General features: G+C 56.8%; 1 protein-coding gene across 14 annotated transcripts in view, besides 3 other annotated features; it reads left to right on the forward strand.

Annotated features, from left to right (window-relative positions):
* Positions 1-24,846, forward strand: part of NFIX (nuclear factor I X) — a 103,322-nt gene that overhangs the window by 62,562 nt on the left and 15,914 nt on the right. For 9 of the 14 annotated variants that reach the window (NM_001365902.3, NM_002501.4, NM_001378404.1 and 6 more), the window contains 6 exons: positions 15,011-15,073; positions 15,386-15,460; positions 15,870-15,990; positions 17,499-17,635; positions 20,577-20,699; positions 23,644-23,819. In NM_001365902.3, the coding sequence (NP_001352831.1) occupies positions 15,011-15,073; positions 15,386-15,460; positions 15,870-15,990; positions 17,499-17,635; positions 20,577-20,699; positions 23,644-23,819 (695 nt within the window). The remainder of the gene's footprint in view (positions 1-15,010; positions 15,074-15,385; positions 15,461-15,869; positions 15,991-17,498; positions 17,636-20,576; positions 20,700-23,643; positions 23,820-24,846) is intronic. The other 5 variants (NM_001365982.2, NM_001440616.1, NM_001440617.1 and 2 more) reach the window with 1 other exon arrangement.
* Positions 1,845-2,746: an enhancer, noted in NCBI's record as "H3K4me1 hESC enhancer chr19:13170695-13171596 (GRCh37/hg19 assembly coordinates)". NCBI's record gives its function as "activates a minimal SCP1, AML or CMV promoter by ChIP-STARR-seq in naive and primed H9 embryonic stem cells {active_cell/tissue: H9 hESC(naive and primed)}" and the evidence as "EXISTENCE:reporter gene assay evidence [ECO:0000049][PMID:30033119]".
* Positions 2,747-3,646: an enhancer, noted in NCBI's record as "H3K4me1 hESC enhancer chr19:13171597-13172496 (GRCh37/hg19 assembly coordinates)". NCBI's record gives its function as "activates a minimal SCP1, AML or CMV promoter by ChIP-STARR-seq in primed H9 embryonic stem cells {active_cell/tissue: H9 hESC(primed)}" and the evidence as "EXISTENCE:reporter gene assay evidence [ECO:0000049][PMID:30033119]".
* Positions 18,415-19,350: an enhancer, noted in NCBI's record as "H3K4me1 hESC enhancer chr19:13187265-13188200 (GRCh37/hg19 assembly coordinates)". NCBI's record gives its function as "activates a minimal SCP1, AML or CMV promoter by ChIP-STARR-seq in naive and primed H9 embryonic stem cells {active_cell/tissue: H9 hESC(naive and primed)}" and the evidence as "EXISTENCE:reporter gene assay evidence [ECO:0000049][PMID:30033119]".

Consider the following 24,846-nt stretch of genomic DNA (forward strand, 5'->3'; position numbering starts at 1 on the left):
AACTGGCCCCACCCCCAGGACAGTACAGCTACAAGTGACCCTAGGAACAGGGGAGGGGGTTGCCCTAAGTTGGGGTGAGGTGGGGACCCTCCCAGCTCCTGCTTCTCTGGAGCCTTCAAGCAGGAGGGGTGGTTGGATGGCAAGAGGGGTTTTGCATGGGCTTCCACCAGGCTCCAGGGGCTAAGCAGGACACCTTTCCAGGGATCTGTCCTCAGGAAAGCCCTCACCTCTCCTGTAGGCCCTGCCTGCAATTATGTAGAGCACAGGCTTCCATCTGGACCTCGGTAGGCATGACCTGAGGCCCATGACTTTAAAAGCTCAGGATGTGCGCTGGGCGCAGGAGCTCACATCCGTAATCAATGCCAGCACTAGGAGGCCCAGACCAGAGGGTCGCTTGAGCCCAGGGGTTCGAGACCAGCCTGGGCAACATAGGGAGAACTTGCCTCTTCTAATAGTTAAAAAGGGGTGGTAGCATGCACCTGTGGTCCCAGCTACTTGGGAGGCTAAGTAGCTGGGACCACAGCTGCATGCTACCACCCCCAGCTAATTTTTTAGGAGAGCTAGGAGGGTCCTTAAGCCCAGGAGTTTGAGGCTGCAGTGAGCTATGATGGCACCACTGCATTCCAGCCTGGGTGACAGAGCAAGACCCTGTCTCAAAAAAAGCAAAAAAGAAACAGAAAAGAAAAAAAGCTCAGGGCCCGGATACTGCAGGGAGAGAAGTACAGGAGCACATGAAACGTACCCAGCTTTATGAAACCATTGCTGAGCCTCCTTCTGGGGGCCAGACAGGCAAGGTGGGGAGGGGTAGGTCTGAGAAAAGAGCTAGACTGAGTGAATGAAACAGCCCCAATCCCCAGGGTGTGGGGGTTGAGAACCCTGGTCTGGAGTTGGTCCCTCCAGGAAGATGTAGGTCCCCACTCTTCCCCGGAGCCACCGTCTCACCTTTCTCTTGTCCCATCCCCCATCCTCATTTGCCTCCTCTCATCTTAGTCCTCCACCATTAGGATTCACACATCCACATGCACGTGCACACAAGCGCATAGATCCCGGGATTCGTGCACATCGGGATTTTCACATGCACTCACACACATAGACAAATCTGGGAAGTCTGTCCCATACTTAATTGAATTAAAGGACTGGGGTTTGGCAGGACATTGTGTATCTGAGCTGCAGCCTCTTGCAGCCGTTTCAAGGGCTGATGGTTCAGTCTCCCTGTAATTCCAGCCGCTGCTGCTCCCTGTGGGCAGGTGGCTGGGTCTGCGCCTGTCGCCTCTCCCCTTCCCCTTCTCTCTCCTTTTACTTCCTAGGCCAGAGCCCCCCAGCACAGGGCCTGGGGAGGCTGGGGACACCCAGTGTATTCCTCCTCCCTTCTCCCACTTGCATTCTGGGAGCTAGTGGGAGGTTAGGGCCTCCTGAGGAGGAGGTACCCCCAGCGTGAGGCCAGGGGACTGTCAGAATAGAACAGTCCAGGCAAATCCCTCCTTCCAGGTTTTCTGCTGCCCATTCTTGGAGTGGGAGCTGGAGGCTGCTTGCCACTGGTTGGAAAGTGGACACACTTCTTGGCCAAGTGTAAGCCACCTGGCTTTAAAAGGTGGAGAGTCTGGTCTAAGGACTTTGGGGAACCCTACTGGAGTGGCCAGGAGCCATAATGATTGGGGGAGTGGTGCCAGCAGATGGGGTGTGCTGCAGGGCAAGAGGGATGCTTTTTTTTTTTTTTTCTAATTTGATTTAATTAGAATTCTTTTTTTTTTTTTTTTTTTTTTTTGAGACGGAGTCTCACTCTGTATCCCAAGCTGGAGTGCAGTGGTGCGATCTCGGCTCACTGCAGCCTTTGCCTCTGGGGCTCAAGCGATTCTCTTGCCTCAGCCTCCCAAGTAGCTGGGACTAGAGGCATGTGCCACCACACCCGGTTAATTTTTTTTGTATTTTTAGTAGAGACGGGGTTTCACCATTGTTGCCCTGGGTGGTCTCGAACTCCTGAGCTCAGGCGATCCACTCGCCTCAGCCTCTCAAAGTGCTGAGATTACAGGCATGAGCCACCGCACCCGGCCAAGAGGAACGCTTTTGGCCTCCATTTCTTCCCTCCACTTCAGCCTCTGCTTTGGCAGGCTCTGGGGTGGGAGTAAGCCTGTTCTCAGCTCCCCTTTACTAGGGACAGGTAATTCCACTCTGGCTGCTCCTTGGAGAACAGAGTGGATGAACTCAGTCCCCACCTCTCAGAGGGACCTAGTACAGAGCCCAGCCCCCACTCTGAGGAAGCCTTGGATGGGCCATTCCTGGCCCAGAGCCTGAGGCCATTGGAAAGGGCCTATATCTGGAACGGGTGAAGGAGAGAGCCCGGGAGCCTCACTGTGGGTGGGAGGGGCGTGGTCAGCCAGCCTTGCCTCCTGGGGCATCAGCTCCCAGCTTGTGCTGCACCCTCTGACCACAACTTTGTGGGGCGCCTGCTGTGTGCAGAATCTACCCCGAAACCTATAGCTTAGGAGAAGCCTGGGTAAGCTGCTAATGGCTGGTAGTATGGGTGTCCAAGGACCTGTTGGAGGAGCCCAGTCCAGCCCTACATGTGTGACCCTTGGTGCCTGGCAAGGCGGGGGGGTAGGGAGCAGCCCTCGCACAGCCAGCTAGACTGTTTTGCTCTGGGGCCTGAGGATTGCGGGGCCAGGGAAGCAACCAGGCCCAGTCTGGGGCCCTGTGAAGCGATCTGCACTGCCCAGGGTCAGGGGGATGGGGGGGTCGGCCTCACCTCGGCTAACCTCCCAGCGGAACAAAGGGGCCTTTCTCCACGCCCGCCCGGGAGGGTGTGCCCGCCCGGCTGCTGCCGCCACTGCAGAGGGCGCTGATTTTTTTTTTCTTCCTGACTTTTCTCCATTTCTGTCTCTGGTTCCTGATCTCTGACTTTTATTCTCCATTTTTTCACTTTTTATGGGGATGGGGTAGAGATCTTCCTTTTCAAGTGTTTACCAATTGCAGAGACAAGTCTGCACTGCCAAAAGGTGAGGGCATCCTGGGTGCGTTAGGAATACTCCGGGAGTCACGTGGCCTTAGACCCCCCCCTCCCCCCCAAATCGAGGGCAGCTCCGTTCTGAAAGAAGCAGGCAGGATTCAGAGCGGCAGCCACACAGGGTGGGACCGGGCTCACTGGATAACCCCCAGTCAAGCTATGCACCTGGCAGGTCCCCCGCCTTCTATTCGCCCACCCATTTCGCAGTCCCCTTTCCATCCGGCCCATGCACCGCAAGCTGTTCCTAATCAATGCGAACGGGAAACTCGGCCCTCATATCACGGGATGTGTTTGGCAGCGACAGCAACAGGAGCCGCTGCCACGGGCAGCTCCTTCCTTGGTGCATAAACCAGGGTCCCAGTGGCCTGGGCCTGAGTGGGTTCTTCTCCTTCCTCTTGGGACCCCCTGGGTATGCAGAGGGAACCACATCCCCTGGAGCTCTGGGCCGGTCGCTGGCCGCGCCCCGCCGCAGCCCTCGGAGGGCAGCTAGTGTTAACTCGCTGCGCCACCTAGCTATGGCGTCCAGGAGTGCAGCGCTTCGCTCCCTGAACCGCGTCGCTTCCTGAGCCGCGCCGCTCCCTGAGCCGTGCTGCTCGGCAGCCTGGGGAAAACCTCTTTTTGGTCCTTCAGGGAGCTATGAATGAGGAATTTGGCAGCTGTCAGTCGGAGGATCAGTGTCACTTTGTTCCTTCAGCAGCCTTTGCTGTCCTTATGCAAGCTTGGTACTTTATAGTATATAAAACTCAAAGTTAAAATATGTTAAAAAAAAATCTGTAAAAATCCCCACTCACATCTCATGTTGCTGAGCAGGTCTTGGTTGTGTTGCACCAAGAAGCAGGAGAGACACACTGGAGGTCTAACAGCAGCAAGTCTAGGATTTGGAGCCTAGGCTTCTGATTCCAGGCCCAGGGCTCTATGCAGCACTCGGTGCCGTCCTATTCAACCCATCCCTGCCCAGGCTCTTAGGGCTCCAAGCTGGAAATTTGCAGTCAAAGGCCCAGATTCCTCGTATTTCCTCTGGACAGCTCTGGACAGTGGCTGCCTTCGGGTCTCCAGGGCAAGGAGAAGAGCAGGCCTGCGAGAGAGTGCTCTGCCTTCCCCTGCTGTGCTGTTCTCAGTGAGGCTCCAGTTCCTTCCTCTGGTCATTCCAGCCCTTGAGTATGGTGCAAGTATGTTCAGTCCTGTGTCTGGAACCAGCTCGGCTTTGCAGGAAGATTAGCAGCATCAGGGTTTCCACATTAATTCACTGGACATGAGTGTCGGTGGTTGGGCTGCAAGAAAGCTATTCTTTCTTCAGGAGGGGGAAGATGTCAGCTAGCTGGTGCCTCTGTTCCCTGGGTGGTCAGTGTAGCCATGGTTTGAAGAAGGATCTAGAAGGGTCTCTTTGGAGTCTTATCATCCACTGCAGCTGTGCTTTGAGATGTGGGGGATGTAGCAGCAAACAAAACCAACAGAGAGGGCTTGTCCTCAAGGGGCTGATGGTCTAGTGGGGTGTTCCTGGTCAGGACCTCCTGGCCTGAGTGGCCTGGTGGCCAGGTCTCTGGGGCTCTCATGCCTTCCAGAGCTAGAGCCTCCCACTTCCCCAGCCATGGACCAGCCAGAGGTTCCCTGTGTAGGTGGGATTTGGAGGAAAGGCTGTTTAGTTTCCAGCCTCCAGGTGGGAGAAGGGCCCCACTTAAACATCTGATTATGGTGGGCATTTGTGTTTGTTGCTTGTCCATGAGCCCAGGGTCAGTCCCTGCTCCACCAAGGCAAGTCTCTGGGTGAAGGAGGCCCCTTTGGAGTCACCAGCCTGGGTACTGAGTGCTCTCTCACAGGGGTATTGAGTGCTCTCTCACAGGGGTTGAGGAAGTTAGCACCTGAGGAGGGGAGGCAGGTGGCTTCAGCCTAACTCCCACTTCCCCTTCCCCACAGGGTGAATTGAAGTCGGTGGGTTCTACAGTTCTAATCCCAGGCCCTGAGGTTTCCTGGATGGATTCTTCCAAGGAAAGGGAACAGTGGAGGGAGGCAGGAGCAGAACCCTGCTTAAGGCCAGAAAGAGAGCAGGGGGCAGAGAGAGGTGGTGGGGGAGGCTGATGCTCCCCAATCCCTGCCGACCCTCTGTCCTTTTTGATTTCCTCAGGCAAATAGGCAGAGAGCTTAGGGACCTTCCCCTGCCCTGGGCTAAAGTGAATTTCCTGCTCTATAGGGTCTCACTTCTTCCACCTTCCTTTTCTTAGCCAGTTGTTCCTTCTCTGAGCCTTCTCCTTTTCCTTTTCTTCTTCCTTCCCTCCCTTCCCCAGAAGCATTCAGGGGTGGGTGAGTAGGGGCTCCTTGTCCTGGGGTCTCCCCAGTTCCTCACTCTGCTGAGTGCCCACCAGACAGATGCTGGCAGCTGCATGCAGCCCAGCAGTTGTGCACACAAAGCCACTCTTGAGTATCTTTAGGAAAGTTTTCCTCTTTCTGTTTTTTTTTTTCTTCGCCCAAAGGAATAATTTCCTCTCTGCTCTTTTTTGTTTTTGTCCCCTTTCCCTGCCTCTCTCAGAATCTTGTACTGTACTGCTCTGATTCTTCTTGCCCCAGTCTTCTTTCTTTGCTTTGGCCCTGATTCTCTACTGTGGCTCCTCCTCTCTCTCCCTTTCTCTCTATCTTTTAGTTTTAGTTTTGTCTTTTGGTTGCTCTCTGGCTCTGGGGCTTCCTGCCTTCTCGCATCCCTCCTCCAAACTCCTGCTTGTCCCAGGCGCATCCCTTGAGTGGCCTGCAGAGCCTCCGCCTCCTGTTTCTCATACCAGGTTGGCATTAGAGTCTGGAGGACTCTGTCCCTTTATGAATAATTAGACCAAGGGCAAGTGTATTTGGGGGTAGGAGGAGGGTGATGCCCAGCCCTGGGAGGTTGGGACACTATTAATAGCCCTAAGAGCAGCTGGGGGTGAGGGTGATTGTCTGGCCAGCCTGTCCTGTCCTGGGCAGCTCAAAGGGCCAGAAAGGGCAGTGCTGGAAATAGAGAAAGCGGGTGGGGGTGGAAGAGCAGCTCTGCAGGCCCCTTGCTGGGATGGGACCCCCCCCCTCCCCAGGGCCCCTCTCTTTTCTTGACATGTGGGGTATGGAGGGCATTCTCCACTGTCAGTTTTTCTTCGTCAAGTTGGGGAGGGGATAGAAGCTTCAGGGGCTGGGGGCCGCTTGCCTGGACCCCACCATCACATGACTCTTGGCCCCAGGCCCTCTCAGAAATGCTGGCTCCAGCTGCCGGCTGAATCGTGGCACCAGCCAGCACTGCCAGGAGAGGCGCCTGGCCTGGACGCCCATGGGCCTGTGCCTGTGCTCCTGGTTTTCTCAGCTCTCTGTATTCCAAGGCTGGGCTGGGCTGGGCAGGCCTTGGGCCTAGCACTCCCAGAGTCTAGGGGGACAAGCTCTATCCTCCCTTTTCCCTGTTGGCCCTCTCTCCCCCACCCCTGTTTCTAGTATGGTGACTGTCTTGAGACCGTTGGATGGCTATTGCACACCGATGTGGGGAGGGATATGCCTGTACAGGTGTCTGCCCAGGCTCTGCCATTATATTTGCAGAGAAACCTCTCTGTTGCTCTTTGTAGATGGTAGTGGGCCAGGCCCCAAGGGAGCCCCTCTGTTCACTGGCAGTGGTCCCTGGGTCAAGACACCAAAAACTGCAATCTAGGACACACTCACCATGTACTCAAGAGCGTGAGCTCCTGGGGAGGGGAGCTGAGGGTCAGCCACAGCTTCCCCCACCAGGGTGGGAGGTGGCATTTGAACAGAGTTGAGAAGGAGGAATAAGCATTCAGCAAATGGAGATGAAGGGAAATAGTAATCCAGGTGGAAGGACAGGCGACATTTATGTAGCCCCAACTATGAGCCAGGCCCTGAGCTAAGCACCTTATTATACATGTTTTCTCATTTATTCCTTACCCAGGAATGCTAATGGTAGGTGTTATCTCCCTTTTACAGATGAGGAAACAGTTCATAACTTGACCAAAGTCACAGGCTGGTAGGTTCTGGAGCACGGATGTGAATTGGGGGAGCCTTGGTATGCCGTTGCTGGCCACCCACCTCCTTCCTCCTCCTACCCTCCATTTCAGCATGCCCCCTTCGGCCCCTCTGTGCTGGGGCAAGGCCAGCTCACCCAGGATAGGGTATCCACAGTGGTAGAGCACTGTGTTGTACCCCCTCAGTGGACACAGGCTCCAGACCAAGGGCACCTCCCTGGGTAGGCCAAGGGCAGGCTCAGAGGACAGGGGAAGCAGACCCAGGCCAATGGCTCCTGCCCAAGATGTTTTTCTTTGCCTTCTTCCTTGCCTGATCTTTGCCTGTCATCTTCAATCTCTTCTGCTCTGATGGGAATTCCTACCCCAGGTATCTCTGAAACACCCCAGACAGTGCTGCTGCCATGCCCTGGGTCCACTTGTTCCCTCCATAGTCAGGTATCTGAGGTGCTAGGTTTGGTGCTGGGTCACCTTGCCATGGGCAGACACAGGAGGAGCCTGCAGGCCCACTCGCATGTCCCATTGCTGCTGTGGCTGGGGGTCTCATTTATTAACTGTTGGGCTGATCCTGGAGTGGCCATTGGCAGGTGGGCCTTTGTCCACCTGCTGGGTGCTCTGTTGTGCACCAGGGGCATATCCCTTCTCTCTCTCCTTTGCTGGCCACTGCCTGTCATCCCTTGGGGAAGAGCAACTGAGCATTCAGTTCCCCAGTGCCTCCTGGCTTCTTCTGCCGCTCCATGCCTGGGCCCATCTAAAGGAGTTCTCCCTGGGCTGGGGACGGCTGCTAATGAACGGGAGCCAAGCAGAGAACGCTGAGTAGCTCACACCAGAAGAACTCCCTGGAGGGCTCCGGGGCCACTTGCTGGGGATGGAAGGGAGGTGGGAGTTCTATTGTTTTCCTGGAGGAAAATTTTAAGCTTAGGAACACCTTTCTCATTATATGAGGGAGGCAGTGATGGGCTGTGTGGCTGGAAGGCTTCTGGCTATGAGTCTATCTCCACATGGGGAGTGGAGGCAACCAAGGACTGTAGGAGACAGGCCTTCTTCACCTCGACACCGTGTGGGGCCTGAGGCTTTCAGATGAAGTGTGAGACTGCTCTGCTGGTCTCCTGGGTACAAGATGAGCTGATGGACTTGCTTTCTCCTCGCTTCCCGAAGCCTTACTGCCGAGCTGTGAGTCCTGTAGTAGCCAGGCCTGGCACTTGCTCCAGGGGCACCCGTAGAGGCCGGGATGTGTTGGAATGGAGAAAGTAGTTCTTCCTGGGGTCAGGGGATGGAGAGGGGAATGTCCCATCCAGATGCTGGCCCTTCATCTGCCAGGTTCCTGTGCCTTCCCTACCCCCCCGCCCCCAACAATGGCTTTTCTTGAGCCTAGGCCCTAGGGGCAGCCAGAGCAGGCCTAGACCACATGTGGGTGTCACTCGGTTTCTTCCTCTTTCCTGTCACTTATCCCCTCTGCCATGTCCTCTTCCCCCATCTCCAGCAGGTCAGTCAAGTCAAAGGCAGAAGCCCCTTTGGATCTGTGAGCAGGGAGGGAATGAGGAAAGGGGAGAGGACGATAATGGGGTGACATGTTCCCCTGTCCTTATCCCTGCCCCCACCCACAGCTTGCGGGCTCTGCTTCTTGTTCAGGCTCCGGCTTTAAACCATGTGAGACTCTAGGGATGACAGAGGAGGGAAAAACCTGCCACCTCAGGATGACTCCAGGATGTGTGTGTGCATGTGTGTGTGTGTTTGTGCACATGTGTGTGTGCACATGCATGGTGGCTGGTGGAGCAGGGTGAGGAATGGAGAGAAGGAGAGGAAGATCCTAGAAGCCCCGTGGGCCCAGACCCTGGCCAAGCCTCATCCCCCGGCCCTCTGGCTGCCCTGCATTCTCAAGGACTTCCTTGGTCCCCTGAGTCTCCTGTCTGCTGAGACGGGGAGAACCCCTCTGTGACCCGTCCCCTTAGCCCCCCATCTATCCACCGTTCCCCTCCTCAGGGTGTCTCAGATTCTCAGACTTCAGTTTCAGGAGGCACAATAGTTACATTCTCCAGCTCTGATTGCTACAGGCAGGGCCTCTGGCTCCCCTTGAGATTGGGTTTCCTGTGCCCTGGACGCTCCAGAATCTCAGAGGAAGCGGGAGAGAAGTAGGAGGCGGGTGCAGTGCTGGGAGGGCCAGTGATTGGCCCCAGAATCGCATCAGCCCTTCAGAGGATGGGGTGTTGCAGCTGCCCAGAGGCACCCCCAGAACAGAATGTACCCCCACTTGCTTCTGGAATGTCAGGCCTGGGAGGGCCAGGGGATGGGCAGGCACACCCCAAGGGCTGTTCTCCCCGTTTCCAAAGGCCAGCGGTTCCTGCAGAGTTGAAGGGGATTCCTCTCTGGTGGCTCCAGATGTACCATCTCACTCCACCCTTTCTGGACGGCAAGAAGTGGTTAGTGGCACCTCCGTGTGTGTGCGCGCGTGTGTGTGTGTGTGTGTGCGTGTGTGTGTGTGTGTGTGTGTATGTGTGTGTCTGAGTCTGAGCATATGAGTGTATGCATCCAAGTGTATGCACATACCTGGGTATGCATATGTGGGTTCAGCTAAGGCCAAATCTGTGCACACCCCTCAGCCTCCATAAAACTTGTTAGGCCAAAGTCCGTGGGGGCAATTGGCCAGCAAATTATACATGGCCCCTTTCACAGTACAAGTTTGTTTCGAGCAGGAGCTGAGGGCAGTGTTGGCTGTAGCCAGCAGGAATTCCTCCCTCACCCTAGTGGGAGCCATAACTACCTCCCCATCTGTAGGTGGAAAATATATATATATATATTAAAAACATGCATCCGGGCACGGTGGCTCACGCCTGTAATCCCAGCACTTTGGGAGGCTGAGACGGGCGGATCACCAGGTCAGGAGATCGAGACCATCCTGGCTAACACTGTGAAACCCTGTCTCTTCTAAAAATACAAAAAATTAGCTGGTCCTGGTGACAGGTGCCTGTAGTTCCCAGTACTCGGGAGGCTGAGGCAGGAGAATGGCGTGAACCCAGGAGGTGGGGCTTGCAGTGAGCCGAGATCGCACCACTGCACTCCAGCCTGGGTGACAGAGCAAGACTCCATCTCAAAAAAAAAACAAAAACAAAAACAAAAAACAAAAACATGCTGTCAGTTGGAGTTTATGTGCAATCCCAGGCTCCTCCTGGCTGCTGGAGCTTCCCCTCCAGAGCTCTACTGAAGAGGCAGTGTCCTCTTGGAAACACGCACAAGCACACGTGCCTGCAAACAGCAGAAGGAAGAGGGGGGTGCTGAAGAGGTGAGGGGGAGGCAAAGGAAGGACAGAGGGAGGGGAGCCAAGGGAGACAGGGAAGTAAGATCAGAAATGGGGATCCAAGGGGAAAGGCAGCTGAATAAAAGAAGTAAGGTGGGGACTTGTTCCAGGGGCTGAGAAGGGGAGCTGGTGTGGGTGTGAGAAGGGCAATTTTGCAGGAGAACTTTGTGGCTGTTCCAGAGGTTACTGAGGGGCCCCCAAGGAAGAGAGGGGCCCAGAGTGGCCACTTGGCTCAGCCTGGCTCTGGTCTGGGCACTGCCAGAGGCCTCCAGCCCACAAGCTGTTGTTGCTGTGGAATGACCAGTGGTGTGCAGATGAATACAGAGTGGCCCCAGAACCTGGAGCCAAATCCCGTTTCAAAGGCTTCTTCAGCAGAGCCCACTTGGGCCCATGCGGAGGGAGTCCAGTCTTATTGCCTGCTCCTTCGTAGCCCTCCCTTCCAGAAGCCTGCAAAGTGGCCAGAACCATGGGCAGGGGAGGCCTCTGCCTCAGAGACATGGATCTCACGAGTAGCCCAGGTCCCCAGAGAAGGACAGCCCGCAGAGCTGCGTGTTTGTGTGACACGAGCCAGCCTGACACCCCCAAACAGCATCGAGAATGAGCTGTGGGCTCTGAGATACTCTCCCTCCCCTAGCCTGGCCCAGAAACCAGGGACCCCGAATGCCAGCCTGGCCAAGGCACCTGTCGGACACAGCGGCTGGGCTCAGGTTTTAGGCAGCTGCATTTGATGGGCCAAGTGGGAAGCAGCTAAGAGCACAGAAAGAACTCTCCAGCTTCCAGCACCAGCATGGAGGGAAACTCTGAGTTGGTGTGGGGCGAGGGGAAGCAGCAGCACCCACTCTATCCCATCTCCAACCAGTATCTCCAGGGAGCGCTGGGAGCCACAGTCCCTGAAGAGACTGGGAGGGTGGTTGGGTGGCCCTGAACTTGGGGGTGCACAGTTAGTGTCCCCACTGGCTGGCAAGCAGGCTGGAAAGAAGCCTGAGGCCAGAAAGGCTTCCAGGGGACATGGCCCCAGAAGACTGGGGAATCAGAGAGACAGTCCTCGGGGGTGTCGGCCGATGACAGAGGATAAAAGATGAAAGATGGAGCCCGGCACCTGCCCGCGTTGTGCCAGCCAACACTGTCCCTGCCCCTCCACTGGCCCATAGGCCACCAGCTGGCCCATTGTCCCCAGTGAGAGAGCAGACACTGGAGGGGGCTCCCTTGTGGGCAGGGGCTCACTCATGTACGCCTGCCTGGCAGGGACTGCCAGGGCAGAGCCACCCCGGGCTCAGGGGCGAGGAGGAAAGAAGTGGGGGTGGCCAAGAGACAGAGCGTGGAGACTGAGTGGGAGGCCCGGCCAGAGTCCGGGAGGCTGCCCTCCACCTTCAGAGTGGAGAACAGAGCCCTGCTGTGCTGCAGTCAGGTCCCCTCCTGTGGTGTTGGCAGTGGGCAGTGTGCGGGGCCTGCGAACAGGAGATAAAGAATTCAGGCAGAGTGTTTTTTCTCACTAACCGTGGATTTGTGTATTTGTTCAGCTGGTGGCTCTGATAAGCCCCATTCTGCCAGATAAAAGCAGAGCAGCCACGAGGCAGGGCCTGGGGAGGGGCATCCTAAAGGGGCCTTCCTCCTTTCTGTCCCAAATCCCAGGGTTATCCCCTCCCCCGGGGAAGCCCAGACAGGGAAGGCAGTCACGACATGGAGATGCTCTGCAGCTCCTGTCACCTGTCCAGAGCAGGTGTAGACCTCAAGGCAAGGCTCCCCAAAGAGCCTGCCAGGTAAGAAAGCTGGCCCACGTTGTGCCTCTGGTGGGCAGGACGTCTCCTTGCCTCCCCAGGAGCTGCCTCCCCAGGAGCCCTTTCACCATGGACCTAGTGGCCTCTCTGGGCCCTGCAGCCACTGGCTGGTTCCTGCCAGCCTCCTTCCTCTATCTATCCAAGGCACATCCCCGAGCTGACAGGGTGCTCAGAGACCTTCCCCCGTCACATCCCTGGTGTCCCGAGGTGCCTGCGGCCCTATCGGGGCAGGGGTCTACTCTTGCTGAGCTAGTTAAGGCCCTGGCTAGAGATGGCCTGTGAGGACTTTAGCCACCTTTGAGTAGAGCTGCGGTGTCCCCTGCCCCTGGCTTCAGCCTTCCCTGCTCCTTTCACTGTGCTGGCCAGCGGGGAGAAGGAGAACACCACTTGAGCAGATCAGTGGGGCCCTGGCTGCAGCTGCCCCGGCCGCAGGCCTGGCTCCTGTGCCTCTGAGCCTGGGTCCAGATTTCCCATGTCTCTGCCTTTTGTCCTGGAGCTGAGCTGAGCATGTCAGGGGCCGGCGGTCGCGGCATTGTGGGCCTCCGGCTGAGGCCGCCAGCCGTAAGATGGCTGCCAAGGTCTAAAATGGCTGCCAGCAGCGCCCGGAGCAGCGCCCGGAGGCGCGTGGCAGGGGCTGCACTCGCACCGGATCCTTGCTCCCACTTGCTCCTTTACACAGAGCTAATAGTAATAACAGCAATAACGTTTTGGGGCTGTGTCCTGATTTAGAAGGATTTCCTGTCTGTCGCGCTCTCCTGGAGCCCTATTTGTCTCTGCCTCAGTCGCTGGCCCACCTCCATCTCTTTGTCGGGTTCCCTCTCGGCTGTCCCTGGGCTGGGTACGCGCATGCGCATCCACACGCGTGTGCACGGGCACATGACTTGCCATCTCCACTTGGTCTTTCGCAGTGGGTAGGGGCCGCTCCCATGGGGTGGACTGTGAAGCTTCCTCCTTCTTCCCCTGATTCCACTGATCCAGCTCTGGAGGGCTTGGTGGGGACCAAGTTGTCCCTAGGATGAGTGGGGTTCATAGCAGAGAGACCCCTGGGCAGCAGAGTGGGGACCACGTGACCCTCGCTGAGCTCTGCACATGGGTCCTGAGGTTGTGCCCTTCCTGAGCCATGATTTAGAGCAACCACAGGACTGGGGTCTGAGGAGGCCCTGGGGTGGGCTGCCTGCTCCGTAGACCTCTTGGCTGTCACTCCCGGACTGGCTGGGGCTCAAATCAGACCCAGAAACCCAGCAATGGGCCAAGGTGAAAGAGTGAGGTAGTATCAAGAAAGTTCACATTCACACCATGCTATGGCACAGAGAGGCTGCCCTCTCAGGGAACATGGGTAGGCTTCCTCCAGAGCAGAGAGTGCCACTAACAAAGAGATGGCTCAGGGTGGGAACCTCTTTTGCCAAACACACCACCAGGGCTGAGCGAAAGGGGAGGTATGGAAGGATACACCCCAAACCAGAGGTGGTGAAGTATATCCTTCCATATTAAAAGCACTTGTTAGCACTTTCCGTATTAAAAAGAACTACTTTTTCTTGACTCGCTACAATAGTATTTATTTTTTGGAATTAAAAAATCAAAAGTTAAGTGGGGATGGGGTGGAGGGGAAGTGGAGCCTGAAACAGTCACCCTTTTTTACCCATTACACTAAGGCAGGCAGCCTGGAGCATGGCCAGTGCTTTCAGCCCCAGACATGGTGGGGCCCTCATGCTGCAAGCAGGGGTGCCACCCGGGTGGGCTGCATCCTGCCCTCCAGCCCCAGAACCCAGCTCTGTTCCTTGCCTCCCAAGTGACTGATGGGGTCCCTCACCCCAACCCTAGGGCTGATGTCACCTTTTGTGAACCTCCTTTATGGTGGGGGCCAGCAGGTTGAATCAGGGTGGTGGCGAGACCCAGGAGGCAGGAATGCTCTTTAAAGTCGGGCAAAGCCCTGGCCAATACCAAGGCACGTTTTTCAGATGCCACCCCCATGTGGTCCCCCTGTGAGCAGCTGATTCTTCACCAAATGCCTGGCTTCCTCCTGCCCCACAACCTGCCTGGCCCCCCTCCACCACCCTCTCGCCAGCTGTCATGCCCAGGCAGGCATTCTGGAGGTCCCCGTTGTGCCCCTGGCACACAAAGCTTTGAGGACCAGGGGGACCAGGGTGGGGGGCTTTCCCAAGCTCAGCAAAATATTCACACACACACTCCACCCTGCCCCCAGCCCTCTGTGAGCTCCCACTGCACAATGAGCCCTTGTCTCGGGGCTCCCTCTGAGCAGCTGTGGCACCGGGGCATGAGACAGCCCAGACAGGCTGGCACAGAGCGGGCGACAGCGTCAGGGCAGACCTCCCCCCTCTGGGTTGCCAGGCACTGCCTCTGAGCATAAAGGTGAGGTGGGGGAGGCGCAGGCAGACAGGAATGGCTTCAATTAACCAAGTTAGGGAAGGGGATGCTCCTCTGGGAGCTGGAGCTGGGTGGGGGATGGGGGACCCTTGGGTCTGTCCCCGCTGTGGAGAGAGATGGTCTCTGACTTCTCTCTTGGGACCCCTCTTTGCTCCTGACTCTTGGCCGGTGCTTCTTACCTGAGGGTGACTTTGCCCTTAAGGGCACAGTGGACAATGTCTTGGGACAGTTTGGGTTGTCACAACTGGGGTGCTACTGTCATCTAGTGGGTGGAGGCCAGGGATGCTGCTCAGATACCCCACAGTGCACAGGATGGTCCCCACCAGAGAGAGCAATCCAGGCCAAATGTCAGCAGTGCTGAGGCTGAGAAACCTGCACTGGGCCTGTCTTTCCTTCTCTGCTTTGGGTCTCCCGGAGCCTCCTGGGGCTGGTTTGGGGAGAGGGTGGGGTGAAGGTTTCTGTAGCCAGGGTGGGCCGTCCCTGCTCTTGCACCAGGCTGGAGGGGCCAATGCTTGGCTGGTGCTTATGGGGAACTTTGCTCCTGATACATTCTCCCCTTTTGTGTCTCCTGCAGAATCCGGACAATCAGATAGTTCAAACCAGCAAGGAGATGCGGACATCAAACCACTGCCCAACGGTCAGTGCCCCCCACCTGCCCAGCTGCCCTTATCCTTCATGCCCCTCCACTTCCTTCCCCCACCCTGGCTGCCCTGGCCACCCTCACTTCTTCCCCTTCATTCAGCTGTCCCTTGACTGAGCTTAGCTTGCTGTCCTGAGGGGATGGGGGCACACCTAGAGGATCCCCCCTGTTCGGTGTAGACCTGAGGGCTAGCCTGGAGCTGGAAACGGGACTTGGGAGGGAGAAGCAACAGTGTGGAAGACCTTTGGAAATAGCCAGGCAGCCCCCTTCTGGCCTTGTCTTGACTCACTCATCCTTTCCCCTCTTCAGGGCACTTAAGTTTCCAGGACTGTTTTGTGACTTCCGGGGTCTGGAATGTGACGGAGCTGGTGAGAGTATCACAGAGTAAGTGAGTCCTTCCTTCCAGGCCAGGGATGGGGATTGAAAGTGAGGAGGTGGGACCTCATGGGATGTCCTCCTAATGGGGTCTTAGGGCAGGTGGATGGGAACAGATGCTTTCTGGGACACTCTCGGCTTCACTGGTGCTGGGCTGGGTACAATAGAGTCTTCCAGAGAGGCCTGTCTCCAGTCTCCATTGCTTTGGAGGAAAAAGAAAAAGTCACAACCAAAGGCTCTTCTGTGACCCACTAGCTGGGAGGAGGTTCCTCAGCAGCCCAGATGGCCCACTTTCTCCCATCTCCTGGCCCCACAGTAAACTCACCCTGGGCTTCTGGGAAGCTGTTCATGACAAAGAAACAGACCCCATCAGGCCTCCCCCCACCTCCAAACCTCATCACCCTCTCGTTCTTCCCAGCTCCTGTTGCAACAGCATCAGGGCCCAACTTCTCCCTGGCGGACCTGGAGAGTCCCAGCTACTACAACATCAACCAGGTGACCCTGGGGCGGCGGTCCATCACCTCCCCTCCTTCCACCAGGTAAGCCCAGTGGCCCTGCCTTTCCATCTTCTCTCCACTCCCCCCAGGGCCAGGGCCGTCCCAGTGGCTATAGTCAGCTGTGTCACTGAGGCTAGGGTGCTTCAGAATGTCACCTCTCTCATTGAGGGCACTGGCTCTAACACTTTAGAGTCCACCATGCGCAGTCACCCACTGAGCTGCTTTGTGCTGTCATGAAGGACCCAGCCCTGGGGACACAAACTCGCACAAGGCATCGCTTTGCCTGGAAGTGGGAGTCCAAGAAGGTCTCTGTCTTGGGGAGGTGACATTTGAGCCCAGACACAGAGGGGGTTGTTGGGGGGTATGGGGAAAATGTTCCAGGAGAAGAGGGTAGCCTGTATCCCAGTTCAGCCTGCACAGGCTGGCGGGGCACCCTGCAGAGGGCTTTGGAGGCCAGAAGAAGGCATTTAGACTTCATCCCTGGGTAGTGGGGACCCCTGAGGGGTTTTAAGCAGGGGATGCTGAGGGTGTGTGTTCCAGAAAGCTCTCTCCAGCAACAGTGTGTGTGGGCGGGACTGATAGCCAGTTAGGAGGCCATTGGAAAGGCTAGAGTGGGGGAGGGCCTGGAGGGTGGGGTGGATGGAGAGGGAGGGAGCTGCTTGGGAGGCAGGGATGTGGGTTCTGGCCAGGGCAAGTTGTGCTGGGCAGGGTCCACTCCACTTTTTTTTTTTTTTTAAAACGGGTGTTTATATTAATTGCGAGATTTTTGGCATTCATTTTGATTTTTTAAAAATATGGGACTAGGCCAGGCTCGGTGGCTCACGCCTGTAATCCCAGCACTTTGGGAGGCCGAGATGGGCGGATCACGAGGTCAGGAGATTGAGACCATCCTGGCTAACACGGTGAAACCCCATCTCTACTAAAAAATACAAAAAATTAGCCAGGCGTGGTGGTGGGCACCTGTAGTCCCAGCTACTTGGGAGGCTGAGGCAGGAGAAAGGTGTGAACCCAGGAGGCGGAGCTTGCAGTGAGCTGAGATCACGCCACTGCACTCCAGCCTGGGTGACAGAGCGAGACTCCATCTAAAAAAAAAAAAAAAAAAAAAGGAACTAAAATATTCTTTATATTGATGACTGAGTTTTATGGCATTTTTGTCCCCCTGACATTTTTGTCCCTCTGACATTTTTGTCCCTGTGAGTACGTCATTCACCTCACCCTAGCCCTGGGGGCTGCCAGGAAATCATAGGTGGGATACAGGAGGCAGCTGAGGGTTTTGCCGACTTCTCTGATGTGGGCAGCTTGGAGGACCGTGGCATCACAGATTGGGAAGGGGCTTGAGGAAGAGGAGCAGGTTGAAGCTGATGGCTTGAGGGGCCCTAGGGCTGATCTTGGGGTTGGGCACGCAGTGAGTGCCCAGAAATGCTGCTGTCGGCCGGCACCACTCCCCACCCAGAGGGCCATCTATGCACAGTTCTTTAGCCTGGACTCTTGGTCACTCCCTGGAGCCTCAGCCCATCCTTGGCCCATGTGACCCTTTCTTTCTTCCCCAGCACCACCAAGCGCCCCAAGTCCATCGATGACAGTGAGATGGAGAGCCCTGTTGATGACGTGTTCTATCCCGGGACAGGCCGTTCCCCAGCAGCTGGCAGCAGCCAGTCCAGCGGGTGGCCCAACGATGTGGATGCAGGTATGGGTGCGGGGGATCCTGACCCAGAGCAAGGGCAGCCCAGAGTCTTTTTGTCCCCTTCTCAGTTCACCTGGTGAGCCTCCCACCAGTTGTCCCCCTGTCGGGGGGCATTACCCATCTGTTTTCTTGCCTCCTGATCTTCCAGGGAGGGCAGAGCAGGCTGAAGGAAGGGAGTGGAGGTGAGGGTGAGGAGGGGTGCTGTGAGAGTCAGCAGCAGAGCCCGTGGTATGGCGGTGGGAAGCAGAGGGGGTGCCAAGCCTCTGGTGCCCCACAGTGGGATGGCCGCAGCCCCTCCTGGTATTTCTCTAGAGGTTGCCCCACCCCGTGGCCTCATGGTTGAAAGCAGTTTCTCACCCTGGGGGCTCATCATTCTGTGTAGGGGATTGTTCTGTGCATGGCAGGATGTTTAGCAGCATCCCTGGCCTCCACCTACAAGATGCCAGCAGCAAAACCCCCACCCCCAGTTTTGATGACCAAAAACGCCTCCAGACATTGTCAGACGTTCCCTAGTGGGATGGAATCCTCCCAGGATGAGAACCACTGGTCTCAAGGGCCCAGCTTCACAGAGAGAGGCTCAGAGTCTAGTGAAGAATGAGCAGAGTCCTTTTGAGACCAGGTAGGGAAGCTAGCGAAGGGGAGAGAGTACAGAGGAAGCCAGCTCAGACCTTCCCAGTCTCCTCTAGGGATCTTCTTCTTGTTGAACCCACCCCCCTTCACCTCCATTCTTGACTGAGGGTGCAGACAGACCTAGAGAGGACTCTGGAAGACAGCATGTAACACGTGCGTGTGTGTGTGTGCATGTGCATGAGCACATGTGTGTGAGGAGGCTGGCCGCAAGAGTCCCCCGCTGACGTGCCAGTGGTACAGCCCGTGTTTATCCTCACTGTGGGTGTGACAGGGCCTGGGAGTGCAGACTCACGCGTGTGGGTTGTGCACAGGGCATGGCTGCTCTGGACAGGCCTGGGCCCTGGGCATCATTCTCCTCCTCCAAAAGGTGAGGGTCTGACCTAATGGTACTTTGTCTGATGTTTTCCAGATATGCCCCTACTGGGAAGGGCCAAGTGGGCAGGCAGAGTCTGGGGTGGAGCGAGGTGGGGCTGGGAAGCACTCCTGCTTTTCTGCTGCCCCAGAACGAATGCAAGTTCTGGCAGCTTCTCCTCCTCCTGGGAGGAGGAAAGGAGGGCTCGCCTCCAGGCCTCAGGCTGAGGGAGTGGGCTGGAGACCCTCTAGATGGCCAGCAGAGGCTGGCCTCTGTGAGAAGGCTTCCTTGCGTGACTCTGGGGCCCCTCCCAGGCTCTCCTCGTGGCAGGCAGGGACTTGGGCCAGCATGGGCCACATGCTTCCCTAGGGGAGCCTTGAGAGGCAGAGAGAGGAGTTGAGAAGGCCCGGGAGACTCTTGGGCTACATCCTGGGTCCCTGGCCGGGGCCTCAGTAGGTGACCCCTTCTGCAAGGACTGCCCCTGGGGTGCATAGAGGACTGTGTCTGCAGCTGGCTCCTGGGGCAAGGGCTCCTGGGCTCCTGTGCCCAGACCTAATTCCTGAGGAGCCCCCCTCTTCCTGGCTCCTGCTCTCTCCTTTCTTGGCTGTCTGCTTTTGCGCCTGCCATTTCTGCATTTCTGCTCCTTCCGGCAGTCCTGCCACGCACGGCCCCTCAACATCCTCCTGCAGCACCCTCCGGCTCCCTTTTCCCCTCACCCCGCTGTGTGTTGTTTTCATGGGCTGCAACAAATTGCCAATTAAGCAGCCCAGCTGCAGGACAGGGAACAGCTGGGGAGGCACTGTGCGGCCATGGGGACAGCTGTGCACAGCTGGTAGGATGCTCCCCCCTCCCCACTGTGCCAGCTATCAGGTGGCACACAGCTGCTGCCAGATAACACCTCCGCTGGCGGCTGGGAGTTCGCCCTTCCCCCGCCCCTTCCCTCTGCAGTTAAGATGGCTCTTTATTTCTCTGTTCTGCAGCCCCTCCACCCCTCACCCAAACTGACTTGATTTGTCCTCCAAGGGTGGCAGCTGTGAGATCTGCCCCAACTCTACCTTATCCTTCCCAGCCTGGGCACAACCTTAAAGCTCAGCCCAAGATGGGAGCTGATCTTTCCAGAAGAACCTGGCCCCCTGGGGGCCCTGCTTTGTCATTTGGATGCTATGGCCACTGGGCAGAGATGAATTTCTAAAGACAGACTTCAAACAAGGTGTTCTCTGTGCCCTTGTTTCATGCTGAATGCCACCCACACCTCTGGCACCAGAAGCAGGGCAGAGCCCTGAAATTATCCATCCTATGGCAGCTGAGCTTCTGGGTCCCCTGGCTGGGGGAGTCTTCTCCCCTCTGGCTCTGCCTGCACAGCCCGGCTAGGCCTGAGCAGCCCAAGGACTCTCCAGGTCCTCTGGCCTCTGTCCCTGCTCTCTCGCTGGGCATTGTGTCCCTCCTGAGGGCTCATGGCTGTGTGCTCCCTTCCCTAAACGGGGCCCTGGCTTCTTCCCACCAGAACCTCCCATGGCCCCGGGCACCATGGCATAGACCCCAGCCTGTCCCTCCCAAACTTACCCCTTCCCGGCTCTCAAGCTGGCGCCCTGGGGTTCCTCCTGCACTCCTTTCCCAATGTTGGTCCTGCATCCCACCCTTTCACTTCATTACCTGCTTGCCAGGGCATAGGCTGGGGCCCTTGCTCACCCCCTGCCTGGCACACACCACCCCACATTACCCAGGGGCCTCGTTTTCCTCTCTGGTTAGAAGCACCCCTTGGCTGGCCTACACACAGGGCCTCGGAACCAGGCCTAGAACAAGGCCTGGGACTGGGCAAGGAGCAGCAGGAGGGAGCACAGTGGAGGAAGGGGCAGTGGGGAGGGGCTGAGGAGAGAAGGAGCGAGCTGCTGGCTTCCCGCCTTCCCCGCACCCACCCCAGCCCAGCTAAACCTGCCCTGTGTTGCTGCTTCCTCCCCCCAGGCCCGGCTTCTCTAAAGAAGTCAGGAAAGCTGGACTTCTGCAGTGCCCTCTCCTCTCAGGGCAGCTCCCCGCGCATGGCTTTCACCCACCACCCGCTGCCTGTGCTTGCTGGAGTCAGACCAGGTGAGAAATGGGGGGCCCCGGAGGGGGGCAGTTGGGGAGGTGGCTGAGTATCTAGGGGCAGCTGGCCAGGTGAAGGGGCCAGAGCTGACCCCGAGTGACAGCCCCACGCTCTCCAAGTGGGCCAAGGTGCAGCAGCGGGTGGGCATGGGAGCCGGCCCCTGCTTCACGTAGCACCTCATCGAGGACCAGGCCGGGCCCCTGGGCTGCCCACCTGGCTCCTGAGCAACCTCCCACTTCTCACTCCTCACGTGCATGGGTGCTACATACAACACAAGCCTGTCCCGAGTCCTCCCCAACTCTGGCCCAGTTCTCCTTTTGTCCTGCCAGCTGTGAGCGGGAAGGCACAGCCTTCTGCTCTGCCTTCCTGCCGGCTCCTCTCTCCCAGCTCCTGGCTGAGCCCAGGCTCTGGATTTTTGCCAGCATGAGCCCAGGTTGATGTGGGGCCTGGATGGAGAAGAGTACTCCTAAGGAGCCCAGGCTCCTGCGGCAAGTAGCTACCTTGTCTGGGCCTCCCTGCCGCTTTCTAGAAAGGAAGGGCTGGGTCTAGGGGACAGGTGGTACCTGGGCTGCTCCCCAGGAAAAGGAACTGCCCACTGCCGTGGGGCTGCTCTCTGACTTCAGTGTCCCAGTTGAGAAGGTGCTCAGGATGAGAACACCTAGATCGCCCTGAGGAGATAGGATCAGGCAGGAGGCTGTGGGAGCTGAGACCTCAGCCCTGTCACTCCTTCACTTTCTTCTTCCCTCTCTGGGCACCCACCTGGCAGCAAGAGGCCTGGACTTTTTCTGGATATGGCCCTATGTCCGCCTGCCATCTCCTGGGCTCGTATGTAGGACACAGAAAATGAGGAGGTTTACCTCCTGGCTTCCTCCTTGGGGCCTCCTGGCTGGGAGCCCAGAGGCAGCCGGTGCTGGGGCAGGGTGTGGTGGCCGCGAGGTGGGGGTGGGGAGCCCAGGCCCTCTACACAGGCAGCAGGAGGGCGCAGGCCTGGCTCCTCCGGCTCCACCTCAGCTTTTATGAACTCCAGAGAGAAGCCAAGTTTCCTCAGCCCCCTAATGAAACCGAGAGCAAGAGCGAGCTGATTGGAAACAGACGGGAGGAGGAAGAGCTGGGGCCTGCTCTGGGTTGGGAATTGCGTGTGCAAGGACGCGTATGTGAGGACACGTGTGTGAGTGATGAGGCTGAGCACATGAGAACACCGCCTAGGTGGCGGTGGCTGGGTGCACACCAGCTCGCACTCAGGAGATGTGTGTGCATATGTCAGACGGCCATCCTGAGCAGATGCTGGCTTTGTCTTCATCCAGAGCCCCAGGGAACCCTCTGCCTCCTCTTGTCCCCCACCCAGTCTCCCACCCAGGGCCTGAATTAAGGCAGGGCTAGTGAGGCACTCACCTTAGGTGCAGAGTGTCAGCAAGTATCAAAAACTCAGTCATCAAGATAAATAATATTTTAATGGAATATGTTTTAAAATCCAAACTATTGCAAAAAAAAGGGTATGGTAAGCAAACACCAGTTTTTTTGTTTGTTTTTCTTTTTCTTTTTTCAAAGACAGTTTCCTGCTCTATTACTCAGGCTGAATGCAGTGGCACGATTATAGCTCACTGAAGCCTTGAACTCCCAGACTCAAGTGATCCCTCCTGTGTGCCACCCTGGCTAATTTTTAAATGTTTGTTGTAGAGACGGGGTCTTGTTATGTTTCCCAGGCTGACCTCCAACTCCTGGATCAAGTGATCCTCCCACCTTGGCCTCCCAAAGCACTGGGATTACAGGTATGAGCCACAGCACTCAGCCATGTCTTTGTTTAAAATGGTTTAAAATGTTGAGGCTGGGCACAGTGGCTCATGCTTGTAATCCCTGTACTTTGGGAGGCCAAGGCAGGAAGACTGCTTGAGGCCAGGAGTTCGAGGCTGCAGCGAGCTGTGATCATGCCACTGCACTACAGCCTGGATGACAGGGCGAGATCCTGTCTCTATTTAACAGATACTGGCTGGGCGCGGTGTCTCACGCCTGTAATCCCAGCACTTTGGGAGGCTGAGGTGGGCGGATCACAAGGTCAGGAGATCGAGACCATTCTGGCTAACACGGTGAAACCCTGTCTCTACTAAAAATACAAAAAATTAGCCGGGCGTGGTGGTGGGCGCCTGTAGTCCCAGCTACTCGGGAGGCTGAGGCAGGAGAATGGCGTGAACCCGGGAGGCAGAGCTTGCAGTGAGCTGAGATCGCACCACTGCACTCCAGCCTGGGTGAGAGAGCGAGACTCAGTCTCAAAAAAAAAAATTCTTTAGGCTGGGCACAGTGGCTCATGCCTGTAATCCCAGCACTTTGGGAGGCCAAGGCAGGCAGATCACTTGAGCCCAGGAGTTTGAGATTAACCAGGACAATATGGCAAAATCTCATCTCTAGAAAAAAAAAAAAGCAAAAATCTACCAGGCCTGGTGGCGTGCACCTGTAGTGCTGGTTACTTGGGGGGCTGAGGTGGGAGGATTGCATGAGCCCAGGAGGATTGCTTGCCGTGATCCGTGTTTGTGCCACTGCACTCCAGTCTGGATGACAGAGCGAGACCCTGTCTCAAATAATAATAATAACACTTTTTTAAAAAGCCAAATAAAATAAAGACAAGATCCTACCCTGCCTCATCTGCCTCATCCTAATCTCCCAGCGCTGGTTGTGATCAAACTTTATTTACAAAAACAAATGGCTGGCCTTTGGACCCTAGTTTGCCTATTTGATTATTATTATTATTATTATTTTTGTATTGCATTAAAACATCATGGATCCTGATGACTGACTTTTTTGTGCCGCCTTAACTTTTGTGCCTGTGGCGGCTGCCTTACCTGCTCAGGATCCTCAGGACCCTCTGACCGGCAGCTCCCCTCCTCTCCTGTCCCTCCCACTGGCTGCCTCCTTGGCCCTGACGCCCTTTTTTCCCTGCCCACGTGCATGCAGGGAGCCCCCGGGCCACAGCATCAGCCCTGCACTTCCCCTCCACGTCCATCATCCAGCAGTCGAGCCCGTATTTCACGCACCCGACCATCCGCTACCACCACCACCACGGGCAGGACTCACTGAAGGAGTTTGTGCAGTTTGTGTGCTCGGATGGCTCGGGCCAGGCCACCGGACAGGTGAGTCCAGAGGGCCCCAGGAGCCCGGCTACAGCCTCATCTCCACATCTATCTGTCTGTCTCAGGGCTCACAGGGAGAGGGCCCAAAAGCCAGGAGCCCACCTGGGGCTGGAGCAGCAGGGAGCTGGTAGTACCAAACGCCTCGATTTTCTGGGTCTGGGGACGGGGGTCTGTGTATTATGCCAGGGCTTGTCTATCATGGTCCGGAGAGGTGGGGGCAGCATCTGGGCCCCCTTGCTCAGTCAGGCTCCTTGCCTTTCCCATGGTCCTTGCCCCCTCAGCAGGAGTGAACTCATGATGATCCAACCCGGATCTGGGCCCTGACCTCCCAGCGCTCCTCTTAAACCTCGGGGCTGCAAGGATTTGCTAGATTCTAGACCAGGGTTTCCCCAGTATCAGCACTGTTGACATTTGGGGCTGTTTATTCACTATTGTGTGAGACCATCCAGTGCTCTGTAGGATGTTGAGCAATATCCCTGGCCTCCACCTGCTAGATGCCAGGAGCACCTCCTCCTCCCCAGTCTTGATAATAAAAAAAAGTCTCCAGATTTCAGTGTGCCCAGGAGGGGAAGACCATCCCTAGTGAGGAGCACTGTGTCAAGGGAAAGCCCCGATCCACATAGCTGCCACGGAGACTCCTGCTGGCAGGACTTTTAACAAAGGGTTCCCAGGACGGTCCTGGTTCTAGAGTGAAACCCTGCTGCTCCTCAGCCCTGGGAGACACACTGGCTCCCCCCAGAGCCCTTCTCTGTCACTGACAGAAACTCAGGGTTGCTCAGCGAAAGAATGATCCCAGGAGGTGGTGGGCCAGAGATGACCCTTCAGTGGGACAACGGTCCCTGGTTGGAATGTGGAGGTTTCTAGACCTCTGGGAAAAATCCAGAGCCTCAGCAGCATGCTGTAATAGGAGAAGCTCTAGCTCCTCTGTAGCCAGCCCTCCCAGCTTGGAAGCCTGCTGCGAGAGGTCAGGCAGGGAGGATGCTCAAAGGGCTGTGGTGGGGAAAGGCATCCCGGAAGCCCACACCAG

Source organism: Homo sapiens, chromosome 19, assembly GCF_000001405.40.
Source record: "Homo sapiens chromosome 19, GRCh38.p14 Primary Assembly".
NCBI lineage: Eukaryota > Metazoa > Chordata > Mammalia > Primates > Hominidae > Homo > Homo sapiens.